We start from the raw sequence: 16,915 nt of genomic DNA, 5'->3' as shown, positions 1-16,915 counted from the left end.
AATGAAAGAACTCCATCCTTAATATTCTGTTCCTCTAGAACCACTCCTGGTAGAAAATCTGTATTAGTGTTCTCTAGAGGGACAGAACTAATAGGATATATATATATATCCTATTACATATCCATATATATATATATATATATATATATATATATATATATATATATATAATATGAGTTTATTAAGTATTAACTCACATGATCACAAGCTCCCATGAGCTGAGGAGCAAGGAAACCCAGTCTGAGTCCCAAAACTGAAGAACTTGGAGTCCGATGTTTGAGGGCAGGAAGGGTCCAGCGCAGGAGAAAGATGTAGGCCAGTATAGTCTTTTCATGTTTTTCTGTCTGCTTTATATTGTAGCTGCACTGGCAGCTGATTAGATGGTGCCCACCAGATTAAACGGTGGGTCTGCCTTTCCCAGCCCACTGACTCAAATGTTAATCTTTGGCAACACCCTCACAGACACACCCAGGATTAATACTTTGCATCCTGCGATCCAATCAAGTTGACACTCAGTATTAACCATCACACCTCCCATAGTTCATGTTTTTTTCTTCTCAGTCTTCATCTTCCACAACTTCCTGCATCCTTCCAAGCCTTCTTTACTGCACCTCCATCTTCTGATAGTTGTTGGAAGGTGCTGTTGACCTACTCAACTGCTCTCCTTCTGTTTCTGCCTCATGGGCCACATTTTCCTTGATTTCTCTTCCTTCTTCCACATTTTAGATGTTGTCAGCTTCCAAGTTCCTTTGGCTTTTGCACTCTCTATTTTCTCTATATAGATGACTTGCAGCCATCTATTTTTGCTCCTGTTTCTCTCACCAATTGCAGCCCTGCATTTCCAGTTGCTGGATGGATACCACCACTTAGATGTTCACCAGAACCTCAAAATAGCATATCCACTTCTCTCCTCTCTCTCTCCTGCTCCTCTTCCTGTTAATATGACCACTTTTTTCTCTGTCTTTGCTCATGCTGTTTCCTTTTCCTGAATGTCCTGCCTGTGTTTTTCCCCAATCTCAGTGATGCCTATCCCCACATCAAACATCGCTGTCCTCCAGATTTTTCCTTAAAGCCCTTTCCTTGGAGCTCTTATCAAACCGAATCTCTTTCTTGCTTGTTTTCTACACCCGTGGCTTAGACTCCTAAGGCAGTGAGTCCTTGAGATATTTCTGAGTCATCTTCTATGCCCCAGTGCACCTCACTGCGTGTCTCACACATTCTACTCAGTTGATTTGATTGAATGGATTAATTTAAAAATGCCCAGCCTGCTAGTCCCACAGCAGTTTCTGGTCAGTTTCTGACTATGTGTGTTCATGGACAAATAACCTCTCTGCATCTCAGCTTACTTTTATGTAAAATGGGGATAATAATATCTATCTTGCAGAGTTTTTGTAAAGATGAAATAAGCGGCTGTTAGCTTGTTTTGTAAACTGGAAAGTCCTAAAAACAAAAGTTTATTTTGGGGGACAATCCCCAGGTTGTTGGAAGGCCACTAGAGACTAGACGCCCTCTGCTTTAACATTGAGGTTTTTTATTGTGTGTGTGAGAATCTGAGGGTTTTTTGGTGATGTCTCAAAGTCAAATGTCAGGATTTTGTTGTTGTTTTTGAGTTGTATTTATAATTTTGTCTTTCCTTTTTGACATTCAAAAAACATTTAATGAGCACCTGCTATGTGTCAAATGATGTTAGAGAAACGGAGGGATGCCAAGCTGAGTTTAGCATAATTTCTACCCTTGAGGGGCTCTTAGTTTAGCCATGCAGACAGACGTGGAAACAGATTGTGATGAGGCAATGTGGTAGGTGCTATAATAGAGATACATACAGAGTGCAGTTGGGACACAGGGGAGGAGGCAATTAATGTCCATGTGTATGTCTCTATATGTCTAAGTATCAATGTAAATCATTGCTCCCAGGAAACTTACGTATGTCAGGAGTGATCATCTCCAATTACAGATGGGCACAAAGAGGATACGTGACTTGCCCAGGGTTACATCTTGAGTCAGAAATGAGTCTAGAACTTGGGTACTCTTGCTCTAATCGTATTTCCAATACCTTTGGGATGCTACAGAGTAGGAGTGGAATTAGGCTGAGTCTTTAGAGTCTGTTAACTTCACAGTAGCCACTGAGGACTTACTAGCTTTGTAACAAGAGACATGTGACTGAACTCTACTTCTCAGCAGAGGAGAACCCAAAGGCCAGATTTCCAGTGGGTTGACTTCTGCCCATGAAGACCAAGTGCCCTCTAAGCTCTTTGGTGAACTTACCAATCTTATTTAGAAGATAAAAAAAAAATGAGGAATGTGATAACTCCATGAGGCCCCAAGATAATATGGAGGCCTGAGCCACAGGGTAAATTTAGATTTTATTGCCTTTCTTTCTGGCTTATAAGGGGTGGAAGAGAAGCATGAGTGACTAGAATCGGCTTATATTCCTCCAGAAGGTTGTTTCCTCATTAAAAAAAAAAAAGAGAGAGAGAGAAAGGGAGAACAGGACTGGATTTGGAATCGTAGGTGTTTTCATTGATCCTTCACCCTCAGATTATCTTTTGTATGGTCATTTCTTTTGCAACCAACTTACAAAGCTAATTCTCTTTCCCATTGTACCCAATTTAAATATTAGAAAATAGAAAAGATACTAAAGATAGTAATAACTTGGAAACACTCCTGTTTATCTAGTAATGTCTCTTTTTTCTTTGTAGACAATACGTTTTTATTGAATGCCTACTTTTACAAAGCTTTAACCTATATACAAGTAGTATGTAGTGATATATTTATATTCCTGCCTTGTTCCACAAAATTTCTGGGGTAGCTTACAAGAAAAACAATAAGACAGCATAGTATAAAAATAAATTGAAAAATAAGAACCAGAGAAAATAAATTAAAATAGAATGTCAAAACTAGGAGGAAGAAAATAGAACACATATGCAAACCATAATGTCTTCTAGTTTCTACAGTTGAACTGCAAATTTAACCTTGAACCAAAGTGAAAGGGGGAATATGGTCAGGGGTGTAGCTCTTGCTGCCTACAGCAATATCTTTCTGTACAGAAATCTTTCTAAAGTCTATCACACAATTTCCTGCTTGCTTATGTAGAACATGTCTACATATATTCTCCACATAAAGGCGTCTTATGTAGAACATGTCTACATATATTCTCCACATAAAGGCGTATGACAAATTTTCTGGATTATTCAAGATCATCATTAAGAACATAATGATTTTCATGTTCTCTCAAGAATTATCAAAGCATTATTAGGATTGTTTGCCCCACACTGCTCTGATTTCTTGAATTCTTGACTCTGGTAACCTCCCTCCCCGAGTTTTGCTATCTCAGTTTCACTTTGCAGTGTGGGAGATGGAAAAACAAGCTCATTAGAATTTTGGGTAAAGAGAGTGTAAAATGCATGGCAGGAGGTCTGAAGGATTCTGCTGTGGAAAAGGGACATCGCATTAGAAAGTAGGTTTTGTGAGATCTATTTTAGCTGCTCATTTATTTTTTTCTTGTTTCTGGGTTTTCTGTTGTGAGAGCTGAGATAACCAGATAAGAGGCCTCTGATAAATGAGGTGTTACTGTCACCAAAGTAATAAGGACTCCTTGCATGCTTGCAGTTGTATGTTTTTCAAAACACCTTAACGCTCATTATCTCATTTGATCCTTTAAACTGCCAGCAAAGTAGCTTCAGCAGATGTTAATTAACTTCACAACAGAGAGATTAACTGGCATACACACAGCTAGAACTTTGGAAATGGGTTTAGAACTTAGGTTTCTTGACTCTTTGTCATTGCTTTTTAACTAATTTAATTAGGAAATGGATAAAGTTATTGGAAAAAGTTTCCCAGAAGAGGTGGAAGCTGAGCCCTTCCCAGTATAACATCCATTCACTCATTCAACACGTATTTACTGAGCACTTACTATGTGACATTCATGTTGTGGACCTGGGGAATGGAGTAGTGAATCCAACAGACACAAATTCCTGCCCTTAAGGGGCTTACTTTCTAGTTACGGAAGACAGAAAATAAACCAAGAAGTAAATACAATGGATAGGATGTCGTGTAGGGATAAGGGTCAGGAGAAAGAATAGAGCAAATAAAGGAGATGAAAATGAAGTGGGAGTGGGAAGGTATTTTAAATAGAGTAGTCGGAGAAGGTCTTCCTGATGTAATATTTGAGGAAAACAGGGAGCAAGCCACATGGCTGTGAGAAGACAGATACATGCAAGGAAAGCAAATAACACAGAAGACATGGTGGTGGCAATTCCAGATAACCAGTTAGGGTCCCAATAGGAACAAATAGCACACCCCAATTAGGGTAATTCAAGGTGGGCATATGTATAGAGAAACCATTTACAAAGGGATTGGCAGGGAGTTGGGGAATGCCAGGGACGGCGTTGTAACCTGGAATTAACAATAGTAGAGCTCTTATCATCCCTAGACCTGCAGAAAGATAGAGAGGTCACTGCAACGTGGAATTGGGTAGAGGAGGTGACCTTGAGCAGGTGACTATTTAGGCAGAAGGCCAGGGGTCTCAATACTGCTGATGGCAGTAGGAAGCCAGAGAGCACAGCAGCCTGTTCATGTCAGATAGAGGACCGTAGAGAGTATATCTGGAAGGGGAAGATGGAAGATAGGCACACAGCTGGCAAGGCTGGAGAAGTGGGTGCCAGTTCCAGCTCTGGGATGAACAAGTTGTAAAACTTCGGTCAAGCCATGTTCCCTGTCTGGGCCAGTTTCTCCCCTCATAAAACAAATGGGGCCTCTCAGTGCTCTCTAAGCTTCTTTCTGACTCTAACATTTCCCAGACTCTGTGATTCAAAGGAGCCACATGATCTGTACATATGAGCCAACGAGGCCCAGGGAGGGAACTGGCTTTCCTGAAAGTTCACAGAGAGCAGGTACCAGGGGTGTGGCCAGGACTTGGGGTTGCGTGATGTCCGCAGGCCTCAGAGAGGTTGAGAGGAGACAATTGTAGTGAAAGGGAAGATGGAGAATAAGGAGCATCCAGAGCAGTTGGTGAGGATGGTTGGAAGAAGTTTGTACTCCTATAGCAATTCTTTGCATGTGATTATGGGCGACGGTGGTCAGGTGTGGTTGCATGTAATTGGCATCAGAATCACCTGGTGTGCTTGCTAAAACCCTGGCTGTCCAGGTCCCATGCCACATTTGCTGAATCAGAATCTGCAGGGGCAAGGTCCGAAGATCTGCATATTTAATAATCTACCCAGTGATTCTTAGGAACTCTAGAGTGAACAAAAGAAAAAGATAAAAATAAAGATAGGGTGCACTGTTGTAGTCTTCATGACCTACTTACACTTGGGAATATGAAGTGTATTGCAAAGTACTCTGCCTCCTGCCTCCTGGGGATTTGACCACTGGGGTTCTGACCCCCCAAAGATAACCAAGTCTATCTGTGAAGGGCCTAGTTTTTATTTTTCTAATATTGTATGAACATTTGGCATTCAGTCCCTTTTAATGCCCTAGCCACCAGCTAGGTCTCTGGAACTTCTTTTCCTTTCCTTCCTTCCTCTCTTCCTTTTTTCCTTCCTCTTTCGTCTTCCTTCCTTCCTCTTTCTTTCTTTGTTTCTTCTCTTTCTTTTTTTCTTTCTCTCTCTTTCTTTCTTGCTTGTTTGCTTACCCTTCCTTCCTTCCTCCCTCCCTCTCTTCCTTCTTTCCTTCCTTCCTTCCTCTCTTTCTCTCTCTTTCTTTTTCTTGCTTGCTTGTTTGCTTCTCCTTCCTTCCTTCTTTCCTTCTCCTTCCTTCCTTCTGTCCTTCTCCTTCCTTCCTTCTTTCCTTCCTCCCTTCCTTCCTTCCTTTTTTCCTTTCTTTCTTTCTTTTTCTTTCTTTCACTTGCCTGCCTTCCCTCCCTCCCCTCCTCCCTTCCCTCTTGCCTCCCTCCCTCCCTTCCTTCTTCTTCTTTTCTTTCTCTTTCTTTCTTTCTCTTGCCTGCCTTCCCTCCCTCTCTTCCTCCCTTCCTCCTTCCCTTCCTTCCTTCCTCTTTCCTTCCACCTTCCTTCCTTTTTCTTCTTCCTCTTTCTTTCTCTTTCTTTTTTTCTTTTTCTTTCTTTCTTTCTTCGCTTGCCTGCCTGCCCTCCCTCCCTCCCTTCCTCCTTCCCTCCCTCCCTTTCTTCCTTCCTTCCTTCCTTCCTCCCCCTTCCTTCCTTTCTTCCTTTCTTCCTTTCTCTCTTTCTTTTGCTTGCCTGCCTGCCCTCCCTCCCTCCTTCCTTCCTTCCCTTCTTTCTTTCTTTCTTTTTCTTTCTCTCTCCTTCCTCCTTCCTTCCTCCCTCCTTCCCTCCCTCCCTCCCTTCCTTCCTTCCTCTTCTTTCTTTCCCCTGCCCTGTGTTTCCCTCCCTTCTCCTTCCCTCCTTTCCCCTCTCTTCCCCTTCCCCTTCCCCCTTCCCTTCCCTTTCCTTCCCTTTTCTTCCCTCCCTTCCCCTTCTCTTTCCTGCTCTGCCCTGCCTCCCCTCCACTCCCCTGCCCTGCCCTGCACTATTTTCCCTGCCCTTCCCTGGCCTCGCCTCCCCTCCCCTCCCATCCCTTCCTCTCCCCTCTTCTCCCCTCCCCTCCCTTACCCTTCCCTTCCCTTTCTCTCTTTTGGGGGGTGGTGTTTAAAATTAGTATAAAATGGCAAAGCAGGAGGAGTTGACCTTGAAAAGGTATGGTTGGACTAATGATCAAACTTTTTAGAATTCTTTCATAACCTCAAGAGAAACAACTCAACCTTTCCCTCTTATTTTCTCTCTTATTTACCCCTGGAAGTGGGAGATTATGGATTAATGCCCATCACATTCAGAGACTGAAAATATTTGTGAGTTTGGGTACTGCATTGTGGTGGAAGTGTGGGAGTGATCATGATGCCTCCTTAATCAATATCATCTTTCCTAAGGTCAATTGTCAGGGCCCTGGGAGTTGACTTTACTATTGAATAACTTTTTAGTGCACTTTGCCATGGAAAGAAACTCAAGCCTCATTGACCATATCAGAGGAGGGTAAACACCTTTCTTGCTCCTTCATATGAAAGTTATTGTTGCTTTTTTATGGACAGAAAATTACAGGTTGATGGAACTATATTTTCGTGGACATTTTGGTGTCAGAGTCTTTAAACAAAATGTATTCTTTGGGAACCTCCCCTCCCCAATCAGGAGACGATGTCTTAATTATTTTGACCAAAGCCAGACCATGTTGTGTGTTGTAAACATCTGGTTTATCATTCATCCAGCTGAACTGGTTTACATTTTCTTAGAAGAAAAGGCTTGGGATTAAAGGCATTTAAGTAATTAAGCACACGTCAAGACAATTTGGTGATGGGTAAATATAGTCTCTGTTAAATGCACCGTCTGGGAGTTCTGGTTTAGATTTACGTCCGGCTGGAGTGCAGGGATGAAAGCACAATGCCGGGTGGACTGGGCCCTTTTCTGGGGAGAATCAAAACCAAATGGATTTTCAGGAGTATGGCACCATTCCTCTAAGTACCTGTCCCAATGGATAAAAGTTTCCTTTGAGTTTGGCCTGGAGGGAATGGCACTGCAGTCCCTGTCACCCAGCAGCACTTGTAGATTTAATGAGACTCTTTGGGAGGTAGACCATAAACTTCTGTGCTTTGGTTGTTCCTTTGTGTCCAGGAAACCAGATATGTCTATGAAGCTTAATGCTAGGTCTCAGGCTTTGTATGACAAGTATGTGTTTTCAGGTACCAATGCTGGGGCCTAAGCCTTCCCTGGTCATGTTTCTTGGCCCTGCCCCTGTGGATGTGGGACAGTGTTGCTAGGCCTGGTTGTGTCAGGCTGCACAGATGTGTGGTCCATGCTGGGCAGGGAGGAAACATGAGTCTTTTCCTTTGGAGGTTTTTAGTTCTAAGCACTAGGCATGAAGTACCTGGTGATTTGAAGGAGACATGGGCACGTTGACTTCGAGGATCAGTAAGGGGCTCCTCAGGGGCTATACTTTGAGCTGAGACGTTGTTCCTGTTAAGGGAGACAGGGAAAGGAAAATGTCCTCAGCACTTTCTTCTTCTCACTGTCTCCCATCCTGAAAGTAACAGGACAAAAGGTTGGGTCTCTCTGTCTCTCCCTGGGTCGAGAGCTGAGAGGAAAGAATATAGATGCAATCCTGAAGAAGAAAGCTTTGCCATTATGGCCAGATGGATGGCGCATGATGGAACCAATTAGCCCATTTTTTGCTGAAAAGAAAGAAAAAAATCAGAATTTCAATTTTCAAAGCAGGGACTCTTTTTTAAAAACGTTTGATTATTTTCTTCTTGTTTTAAACTGATTTCCATGCTTGTTTGGGGGTAGAATCTTGGTTTCTGAAGTCTGGGTGAACGGGGAGGCCAAAGCAAATCCCTGTTGTTGGGTAAAGTTGTGGATGGATGCTTACTTTTCAACATGCCTCTCCTGCCCCATTCCTCCTCCTCTAATGTACTTTCTCCTCCCTTCCCTTATCAGCCACTGATTGGGATCACCCATAGGATACCACCTGAAAAGTAGGGAGTACACAGCTAGAGGGAACAGAGAAACATCCAGTTGCGGCATTTTGGGGGCTCTGGTTATCTGAGTCAGGACAACTCTGGTTTTATAACTTGAATCTTTGCTCCAAAGCAAAGGACCTTTTACCTTGACTTTCTGTCTTAGGAGGCAGAACAATCAGCTGGAGTGTAAAAGTTTCTTCATGAGCATAGAATGCTCAACAAAGCAGTGAGGAAGGCGATGAACAAGAGGAGTACTGAGATAACTGCAGCCGTAGGGCCGGTGACTGTTAGGGCTGCCATCTCTTCTGTGTTTCCAGCTGTGAGCTAAGTGCGGTGAGACGCACAGGTGAGAGGAGTGCTCTCTGACGCAGGTCAGGCCTCTGGGGAACACAAAACAATGAGCAAACCTTGTCCTGGAAGTGAAGCAAGCTGCCCACTTCCAGCTGCACCGTGCACAGGAAGCTTTATTTAAGATGGGGGATAGGGCGCATGGCTTTAATGTCCCAATAATTTGAGGCATTTCTGAGGATCTGGCAGCTGGGACCAGGAGTTCAGGTTGTCGGTCTAATGGTCTGATGCTTCCAGACACTCGGCTACCGTGCAAAGTCCAGCTGAGAATTAGCAGATGAGCTAAGTCGGTGAAAACAACTGCTGGACTTTTCCACAGAGTTTTGGGACTGTCTTAAGGGTATATACAGCTGCCACAGCAACTGTGGGGTGTGACTGTATGGATTGGGTTGGGTAGGTTCTGGGGTGCGGTCTAGCTGGGGCCTTACCCGCCTGTGATGCTTCAACCTCTATCCATGCCTACAGCACTTTGTAGCTTTAGCTTTTAACTACAAACTCCCACAAACTCCCCTCCCGGCTTGGGACTCCTCCCTTTGATTATGGTAGGGTGGCTTCACATTGCTGTGGTTATGGCTCTTGAACTGAGTAATGATGCTCAGAGTGAAATTGTAGTCTTGTGAGTCAGACAAATCTGCAGCTTAGCGAACCTCCAGGCACCCTTCCCCCATCTGCACTCCCTCTCCCCACCCTCTGCTCCTCTCACCCCACAAAGTTATTTCTCATGTTTTATGTGCATGCCAAGGAAGAAACTTAAAATCAGGAAAGGACTGGCCCTTTGGTGACGCAGCAGTACCAAAACACTTAGCTTTCAACTCATTGGAAGAGCAGCCACTTCTACTGGGCACACCTGGCAGCCTGCCGCGGGCCTCTGCTCCCACGTGGGGCCTGGAGAATAGTCTTTGTGCCATCCAATGTCCTGGAACTGTGGCAAATGGGGGCGAGGTTTGAGGAAGAGGAGGCTGATGGAGGGGAGAGGATTGTCTGAGATCCTCTGCGGGTCTCTGAGCATGTGGGTGGGGCATTGGGTAAGAGCGGGAGGTGGGAAGCCATGAATTTTAATGAGTAAATGTTGTCTAGATTTGTTATCCAACCTCGGCGTTTATTCAGAGCCATGCAAATGCAGATTTCTTAGCATTTGGACATCATACATCTTTCCCTCCAAAACCAATTATCTCCTCATCTCACTACAGTCTACAGTCTCTTTGGAAAGAATGGTTCAGGGCAGAAAGTAAGTGCGAGACAAGGGAAATCATTGTGTACCAGAAATTCCCCCTCTCCTCCCCCTCCATGATTAAATGTGGATCCTCGTATGGCGGGATCCTTGGTACTACGAGTTGGTGAGACATAATCCCTCCCATCTGGAAGCCAGCGACCTAGGACAGACCATCCCGACTCAGACAGAACACACAGACCACTTTATAGTCTCTGAAAAAAACCAAGAATGAAACAAGTAAATAACGACGACTTTATGCTGCGCAGAAGGTTCTCTGTTGTGAGTATAATGGAGTTGGAGGGACAGAGCCATTTGTTCATTTCACATTTGTTTAGTAGGGTCTGCTATGTGCAAGTGGTGTGAGACACTGTTGGAATTAAAACATAAATCCCTTGTATAGTTTTCAAACTTTTTGGTCTCAGGGTAACTTCACACTTTTAAAAATTATTGGGAACACCCAAAGGGTGTTTGCATGACTATGTCGACCAATGTTTACTGCATGAGAAGTTAAGGCTGAGAAATTGTGAAAGTGCAAGAATACACAAACACACATGCCATTAGCCATAGGGGATGATGTCAGCATGTGCCACAACACCCCACTATGTACTTGTGAAGGAAGAGTGAGAAAGCAGTTAGAAACCGTTAGTGCTGTTAGAAAAATAGTTTTCCTCCAGGGACCCCCGAAAGCCTCATGAGGACTCCCAGGGCTCCCCAGACCACATTTTGAGAACCACTGCCCTGTTGCTTCCTGCCCACCTCAGGGATATTATGGTCCAGGCGGCAGATCAGTCACAGCGAACGCTGCCTTGTGAAACAGCAGGAAGGAGCTCAAAGTGCAGTCGGATGCTCTCATACACTTTTATAGATCATGATTAAAATGATCCATATAACCATTCCTATGCGGTCATGGAGCACAGAGATTCTCACCTGATGGTGGTGGAAGGTTATTGGAATGGAATGACTGGAATCTTTGAAGACAGGAGGAATGTGAACTTTGAGACAGCATATTTGATATTAAAACATAATTTTGTATTTAGAGAATGAAACAATATTGTTCTTATACTAAGAACCAGAGCTTGACAAAAAGTTCTAGCCTGGATGATATAGAGGAGGATGCAGTGATTCTCAACTGGGGGGGCATGTGAAAGCTTATTTATCAAAAAACAGGGGTTAAGTTGAGAAACGCTTGCCCCAGAGTTACTATTTTCATCTCCCTTTCTTCCGTAGGTATTAACTCTCTGATCGCAAACAATATCTATGAGGCTGCCTACCCTCTTCATGACGTAAGTACTATTTTCATCAGCGTGCTCTCTGTAGTCTTCAAAACTTTGAAAACCACAACTTTTCAGTGGCAGTGAGATGGGTGAATACCTGCAGGGTGAGGCAGGAGTGAATCATGACATTAAAATACCTTGACTGACCCTGGACCACTCATTGCTGACAATAATCCCCAGTTTGATTTTTGCCAATCATCTCAAACTGTCTCGGCAATGATTTCCCCAGATGACACAATAAACTGGGCTTTGTTTGAGCTTTTCTTGTACTCCCTAGCTTTATTTTTAGCAAAAGTGTAACTATACAGATGTGGCATGAGGTGATTAAAGGGAGGAGATATTGATGAGGGTGGTGGATGGTGGTGGAAGGAGACTGAAAGGCGTGAGTAATCCCTAACCTGGACTGTCAGACGTCTCCTTAGCTGCCTGAAAGTGATATTTTGTATGGGAGAGTTTTGTGCAGATGTGAAATTCCTCCTTAACATGCAGGTACATATTAACGAAAGATCATTATTTTAAAAAAAATTTTTTTTGAAGAAAATCTCTCAGAATTCCTTGTACAATGCTTTGGTTAAGTAAAGAAAACAGAATGACTGTAATGAAATCTCTCCTTGACTGGAGATAATGTTACGAACATACCATGATACAATGCAATGGTATTCTTCAAGACAGTTTACGAGAATGTAACTGGTCCTTGAGCTAAATGCTCCATGGCTTCACTATTCATCAGACTGGTCAGGTCTTGGGCACGTGCCATGCGGTAGTGCCATTTGAGACTGCTGAGGTGGGGCTCCCTGACTGCCAGCAGGAATTTTTCGGATGGCAGTCTTCTAATTCCTGACATATTTGCAGTGGCATATGCACTGCTAAGTTCTGCAGTTACGGACAGAGTGAGCATGTCATGGCACAGGTGCTTTTCACGTGATGGGCTAAACCATTTAAAGTCTGGAGCTCTGCCATTGCATTGCTACGAGGGGGCACAGGCTGATCTCTGAAGTGGATGAGGGGGCACATCTTCATGTGAGAAGTTATCCCAGGAAATGTGGCAAGTGTTGATGGCTCAGAAAATGGAATATCAGCCCCTTACCATGCCATGCTTTTGACCTTCCTTAAATGGGAATGAAAAAAAAGCAATGATATTAGAAAATAAAAAAGAAAATCCTTTCTCCTTTGGCACCTGCTTCTGGTAATTTCATTGGCTTTATCCAGCATCACTTTTTCTCCACAGGGTGAATACGATAGTCCAGAGGACGATATGAATGACAGGAAGGTAAGCCTGCCTCGTGCAGCATCCTGGACTTTGGGCATGCGAGACTACGGGTGGGTGTGGAAGTGGCTAGAAGTGTCTTAGATGTTCTCTTTACCTGCTTATCTACTTTCCAACAATTTTACCAGCTCCCCCCTTTCCCCCACCCAGGTATTTGGAAATGTGAGGGTGGTTGCTACTGTATTTAGTGCCTGGAGAGCCACAATGCCAACTGTTCTGAAATATATCCAATGGCCCTCCACACACAGCCCTCACCCCACCCTCCCATGGCAAGAGAGCACCAGTTGAGAAACATTGGCTGTCCAAATTCCTTAACTGATATATGCAGAAATGGAGGCACAGAAACTTGAGCACCTTGGCCTAGATCACACAGCCACAGGAAACAGAGATGGGGCTCGGAACACCTCTAGCCCTCAAATCCAGGGCTCTTGCTTAAAACATGTGATGATCCATGCCATTATAGCTTTTGGAGGGTCAACTTTAGGTGATTCTTCTTTCCTTTTAGGCAGGCAGGTGGAGTATAGCCACTCCCAAATTATAGATGAGCAATCTGAGTGTGAGGGAGGCTCAGTTGTGCTTTGTAGTTCAAGAAACTAGGAATTGGAGGTTACAGTTAGGGGAAGGAAAATGGCCCCACCTCTTCAGTGGGGATGCACCGATGATCCCCTTATGCCATCCTCCTGCTGGCTTCTCCCCACCTTCAACAACTCTAGTGAGCAGAGGAGGGTGGGCGATGGTGGGAGGGTTGAGGAGCTGAAGCTCAAGCAACTTCCCTCCCCCACTCTGTTGTCTGGAAAATCATTCATGCCCCAAGTTGCCTTTTGAGCAGGCTTCTTTTTATCCTGCCTATTAGTCCCTGTTATGAAGTGTTAAGTATTAAAAACATAAAAGGTCTTTTCCAGAAATACTGTGGTGATTGCTTACACATGTCCCCTCTCTGCCTGCCCAGGGAATCTGCTGTAGTATTGCGATGTCTTAACCTCATCTGTTTTCTATCCGATGCTAATAGTCTCGGTGTTTAATTTCCTGAAAAGTCCCGCATCAGATTTAAAGGAAAAGGAGGAAGCATGTCTCACCACATCTCACCTCTCTCGCCCAACCATTTTCTGTCCTCCCACTCTCTAATTTTTCCTTCCTTCCCTTTAAATGGTGATCACCATCCATTGCCTGTGTAAGAAAACAGGTGGTGACCCCAGCCTGTCTAGGATCATTACGGAGACCAGGAACACACAGCAAGTCATAGGAGAGATCAGTCAGCCTTCTGTTACCTGCACTAATGGAAGAAGTAAATTGTGGACTATTTACAATATATATGTTGTAGATATAAAAATATGTATTTGTCTTTGGAAAGATACGAAATTACTGTTAACCACAGCAATGCCTTTTAACAAAAAATTTTCCCATCAGAAAATGTTTCTCTTTGGCTGATATAATGAAGTCAGGGTCCACTCCACCTGGTAGAATAGGTGGGAACTAGGAGGCAGGGAGAGCCCAGCCAGGATGGAATTGCATCTCCATGGATAACTCCCAAAGTTGATGTCAGAAAGATGCTTCGTGAAGGTGAACAAGTCTTTGAAGGACAAGATGACCCTTTCTTGTGGCCTTTCCTTGGGCTTGCTGGCCAGTCTTGGTGATACCTAGCCAGGAGAGAAGACTGGTTTTAATGTCCCTGAATGTTCGTGAAGTCAGGACTAAAACCTTAGTGTCCAAATCCCAGCTAGTGCTGTGTGGTCATGTTGACACAGCTTCTTCTGTTAAGCAAGAGAGATTCTCACGGCAGGGCTAGATTTGTTTCTGTAGTTTTAGTGGTATGTGGGTGGTGCCTACAACATATCCTGAAGGAGAAAGAGCAAAAACGCCCAAGTGTGTGCTGCATATTTATTTGTTTTCATTATATTATAACTGTCAAGTGTTCTTCGAGGTGGTTGCAGGAAGCATTTTGCTTAGGTGCAAGGAAGGACCCCTGCATTTGGAGCTGAAGGACATGGAGAAGGCTTGGGAGCCGCAGTGTAGGGTGGCCTCTCTGGGGCCTGTAGGGATTATTTGCCATGGTGTCCCAACCTGCCCATCCTGCCAGCACCTGGATGTTCTCCTTCACTCTTCCTTACCATCTGTGGCTGTTCCCATGTTCTCCCCAAGGCCCAGGCTCATTGCAGGCAGATTCTAGGCAAGCCAAGAGGCGCTAGAGAATGTCAGTCTCCCTCTCCTGAAGCTCACCTGGTGCTATTGTGCAGCTTGCGTGACTCAGCCCCAGGTAGGGGCTGGAAGTCTCTTTCTTTCCCCTCCTGGAGGGTCGTTAAGAAGAGGCTTCCTCCGTCTTGAGAACAAGGAATTCCTGCCTTCCTAGAAGCCAGGACAACCGGAAGAGGGAGCAGCGTGGGGGTAGATGGGTCCCTCCTGGCTTCCAGCAGCTGCCTAGTTCCCCATTTGCCAAAGCTGCCTAGTGTCCTGGAAATTCCCAGAGAAGTGGCTGTCACCATCTGCTCAGGGCTGCCCGGCTCCCACTGGCTCTCTGTGGCTTCTTCACCCACTTACAGGGGAGAACCCAAAGTAGAACTTTGGATGTGACTTCCTTTAGCATTCTGGAAACCCTTAGTCCTGGATTTTCCAGCCTTTGCAGGTGGGTGTCTTCCCTAGTGGATAGTTAGTAAGTGACCCACTGAAAACTGTGGAGAGAGTCACTCCTGCATTTTAAGACTTGCCTTCCTCACAAGAAAGGCACTTTTCTTCTTGGTTCCAACTGAGGATTCATTTTGCCGTGCTGCACGACTTTCATGTTACTGTGTGGAGACGCTGAGACCTAGAGAGGTGGGGTTACTGGCTAAAATGTTCGAATAGGTCAGTGTGGCATCTGGGAGCAGAAGCTAAGTCTCTTCCATTCAGGATGCCCCGTCCCTTGAATGCCTCCAAGGTGGCTATAGCATCTTTCTGCCTGTCTCAGGTCTAGCTGCTCTCTGAGGAGCTTGTGGCCTCAGAGAGGGTCATGAGTCCCACACACCTTCATGTTATCTGGCATTGCAAAGGGTTGTTGCAAAGGGTTTTTAACACTTGAGTTCCTTCATAGTCTCGTGAAATTCTTAAATTGATGACCTCTGTCAAATGTGATCCCTGGGGAGCCAAACTTGCTGCTTCTATCTCTGATCCATCAGGTGGGATGGTTCCTGCTGTAAAGGCTTGGGGCAGACAGACACATCTGGGATTACATCCAGGGCTCTGGAATCAGGCACTGTCCATTAAGAAGGAGCAGTAGTCTCTCCCTGGTTTATTTGCTAGCTTTGCCAGTTGGTGAAGAGAGGACATGGTGAACCTGTAAGGGAGAAAGTGGATTCACTAAGAGCTGCATTAGAAGGCTCTAGACTCTGCAAGTTTAAAGGGATTGTTACGTGTCTGTGCTTTACTCACACCATGCTGGTCCATATGGGGCAGGACTCCAGAGTGTGCCTCCCTTCACCCTGAGTGCTGGTCCCTTCTGGGACCCTGCAAGCTGGAGTTCAGCATGATCCACTTGCTCTTAACTATGTGTGACTAAACCTTCTTAAAGATTGGGAAGGGTCTACAGCACTCTCCACCTCCCTCCCTGCCTCCCCTGCAGGTGACAGAAGGCGTGTGAGCTGGCCTGGGCATCCAGGCGTAATTGCTGCACCGCCTCCCAGCTTTGGTGCTCTGTAGCTCCAGCTGTCTGTTTCAGGGGCTGCCTGATCACGGCCTCCTCTGTATGCTTCTAGCTTTTCTGTATCAAGCCCAGATAGTTCTCTTGGCTCCTCCTCATCTATATCCACAAGCTGTGGATACATCTTTGTGCTTAGAAGAGACCATGGTGAGAGAGGGACTTTCTGGAAGTCTCTTTCAGCAGATCTGGGATTCAACCAGGGAAAAGGCTTCTGAGGTCAGCTCTCCGTTGAGGCCATACAGGGTTCCTGGGACATTTTTCGTTTTTGCCTTCAGGGCAGTGGCAGATAGGTGTTCTCAAGCTCAGGTTTTGCCTGGACATATGACTTGGGGAGGAATTTGCTCTGGAGGTCAGAGCCTATGAGGCAGACAGTGACGTCCCATAGCTCTCGAGGGGGTGCCCTGCCTGCATCTCCTGACGCAAGCATATCTCCCTTTGGGCAACAAATGATGTCACTATGACAACCAGGTGTTGGAGAGCCCAGGGTTTGCACTCAGGGGAGGGAGTAAAAACTCAGGCAGTAGAAGCACCCAAGATGTGGGAGGAGGAGATGTACTAATAAGAATAAGATTAGGTTAGCCACTGCCCTGGAGTGAGCAGGAGCAGTGCTCATGAATTCAGATGTTCCTCTGCCTTCATGCACTGAGTGACCCCTTTTGTATCTGGGTTTCCTCCATTGCGA

The 16,915-nt window shown here is 44.9% G+C and overlaps 1 protein-coding gene across 3 annotated transcripts in view, besides 2 other annotated features; it reads left to right on the top strand.

Annotated features, from left to right (window-relative positions):
• Nucleotides 1–16,915, top strand: part of ANO2 (anoctamin 2) — a 383,578-nt gene that overhangs the window by 127,615 nt on the left and 239,048 nt on the right. For all 3 annotated transcript variants that reach the window (NM_001278597.3, NM_001364791.2, NM_001278596.3), the window contains 2 exons: nt 11,250–11,305; nt 12,525–12,566. In NM_001278597.3, the coding sequence (NP_001265526.1) occupies nt 11,250–11,305; nt 12,525–12,566 (98 nt within the window). The remainder of the gene's footprint in view (nt 1–11,249; nt 11,306–12,524; nt 12,567–16,915) is intronic.
• Nucleotides 5,390–5,889: an enhancer, noted in NCBI's record as "H3K27ac hESC enhancer chr12:5921895-5922394 (GRCh37/hg19 assembly coordinates)". NCBI's record gives its function as "activates a minimal SCP1, AML or CMV promoter by ChIP-STARR-seq in primed H9 embryonic stem cells {active_cell/tissue: H9 hESC(primed)}" and the evidence as "EXISTENCE:reporter gene assay evidence [ECO:0000049][PMID:30033119]".
• Nucleotides 10,578–11,777: an enhancer, noted in NCBI's record as "P300/CBP strongly-dependent group 1 enhancer chr12:5916007-5917206 (GRCh37/hg19 assembly coordinates)". NCBI's record gives its function as "activates an origin of replication core promoter dependent on BRD2, BRD4, P300/CBP, MED14 and CDK7 cofactors, with strong dependence on P300/CBP, by STARR-seq in HCT116 cells {active_cell/tissue: HCT116}" and the evidence as "EXISTENCE:reporter gene assay evidence [ECO:0000049][PMID:35650434]".

This window comes from Homo sapiens, chromosome 12 (genome assembly GCF_000001405.40).
Source record: "Homo sapiens chromosome 12, GRCh38.p14 Primary Assembly".
Classification (NCBI taxonomy): domain Eukaryota; kingdom Metazoa; phylum Chordata; class Mammalia; order Primates; family Hominidae; genus Homo; species Homo sapiens.
The sequence above is the reverse complement of the archived record's forward strand: the minus strand, read 5'-3'. Positions and strand labels throughout refer to the sequence as shown.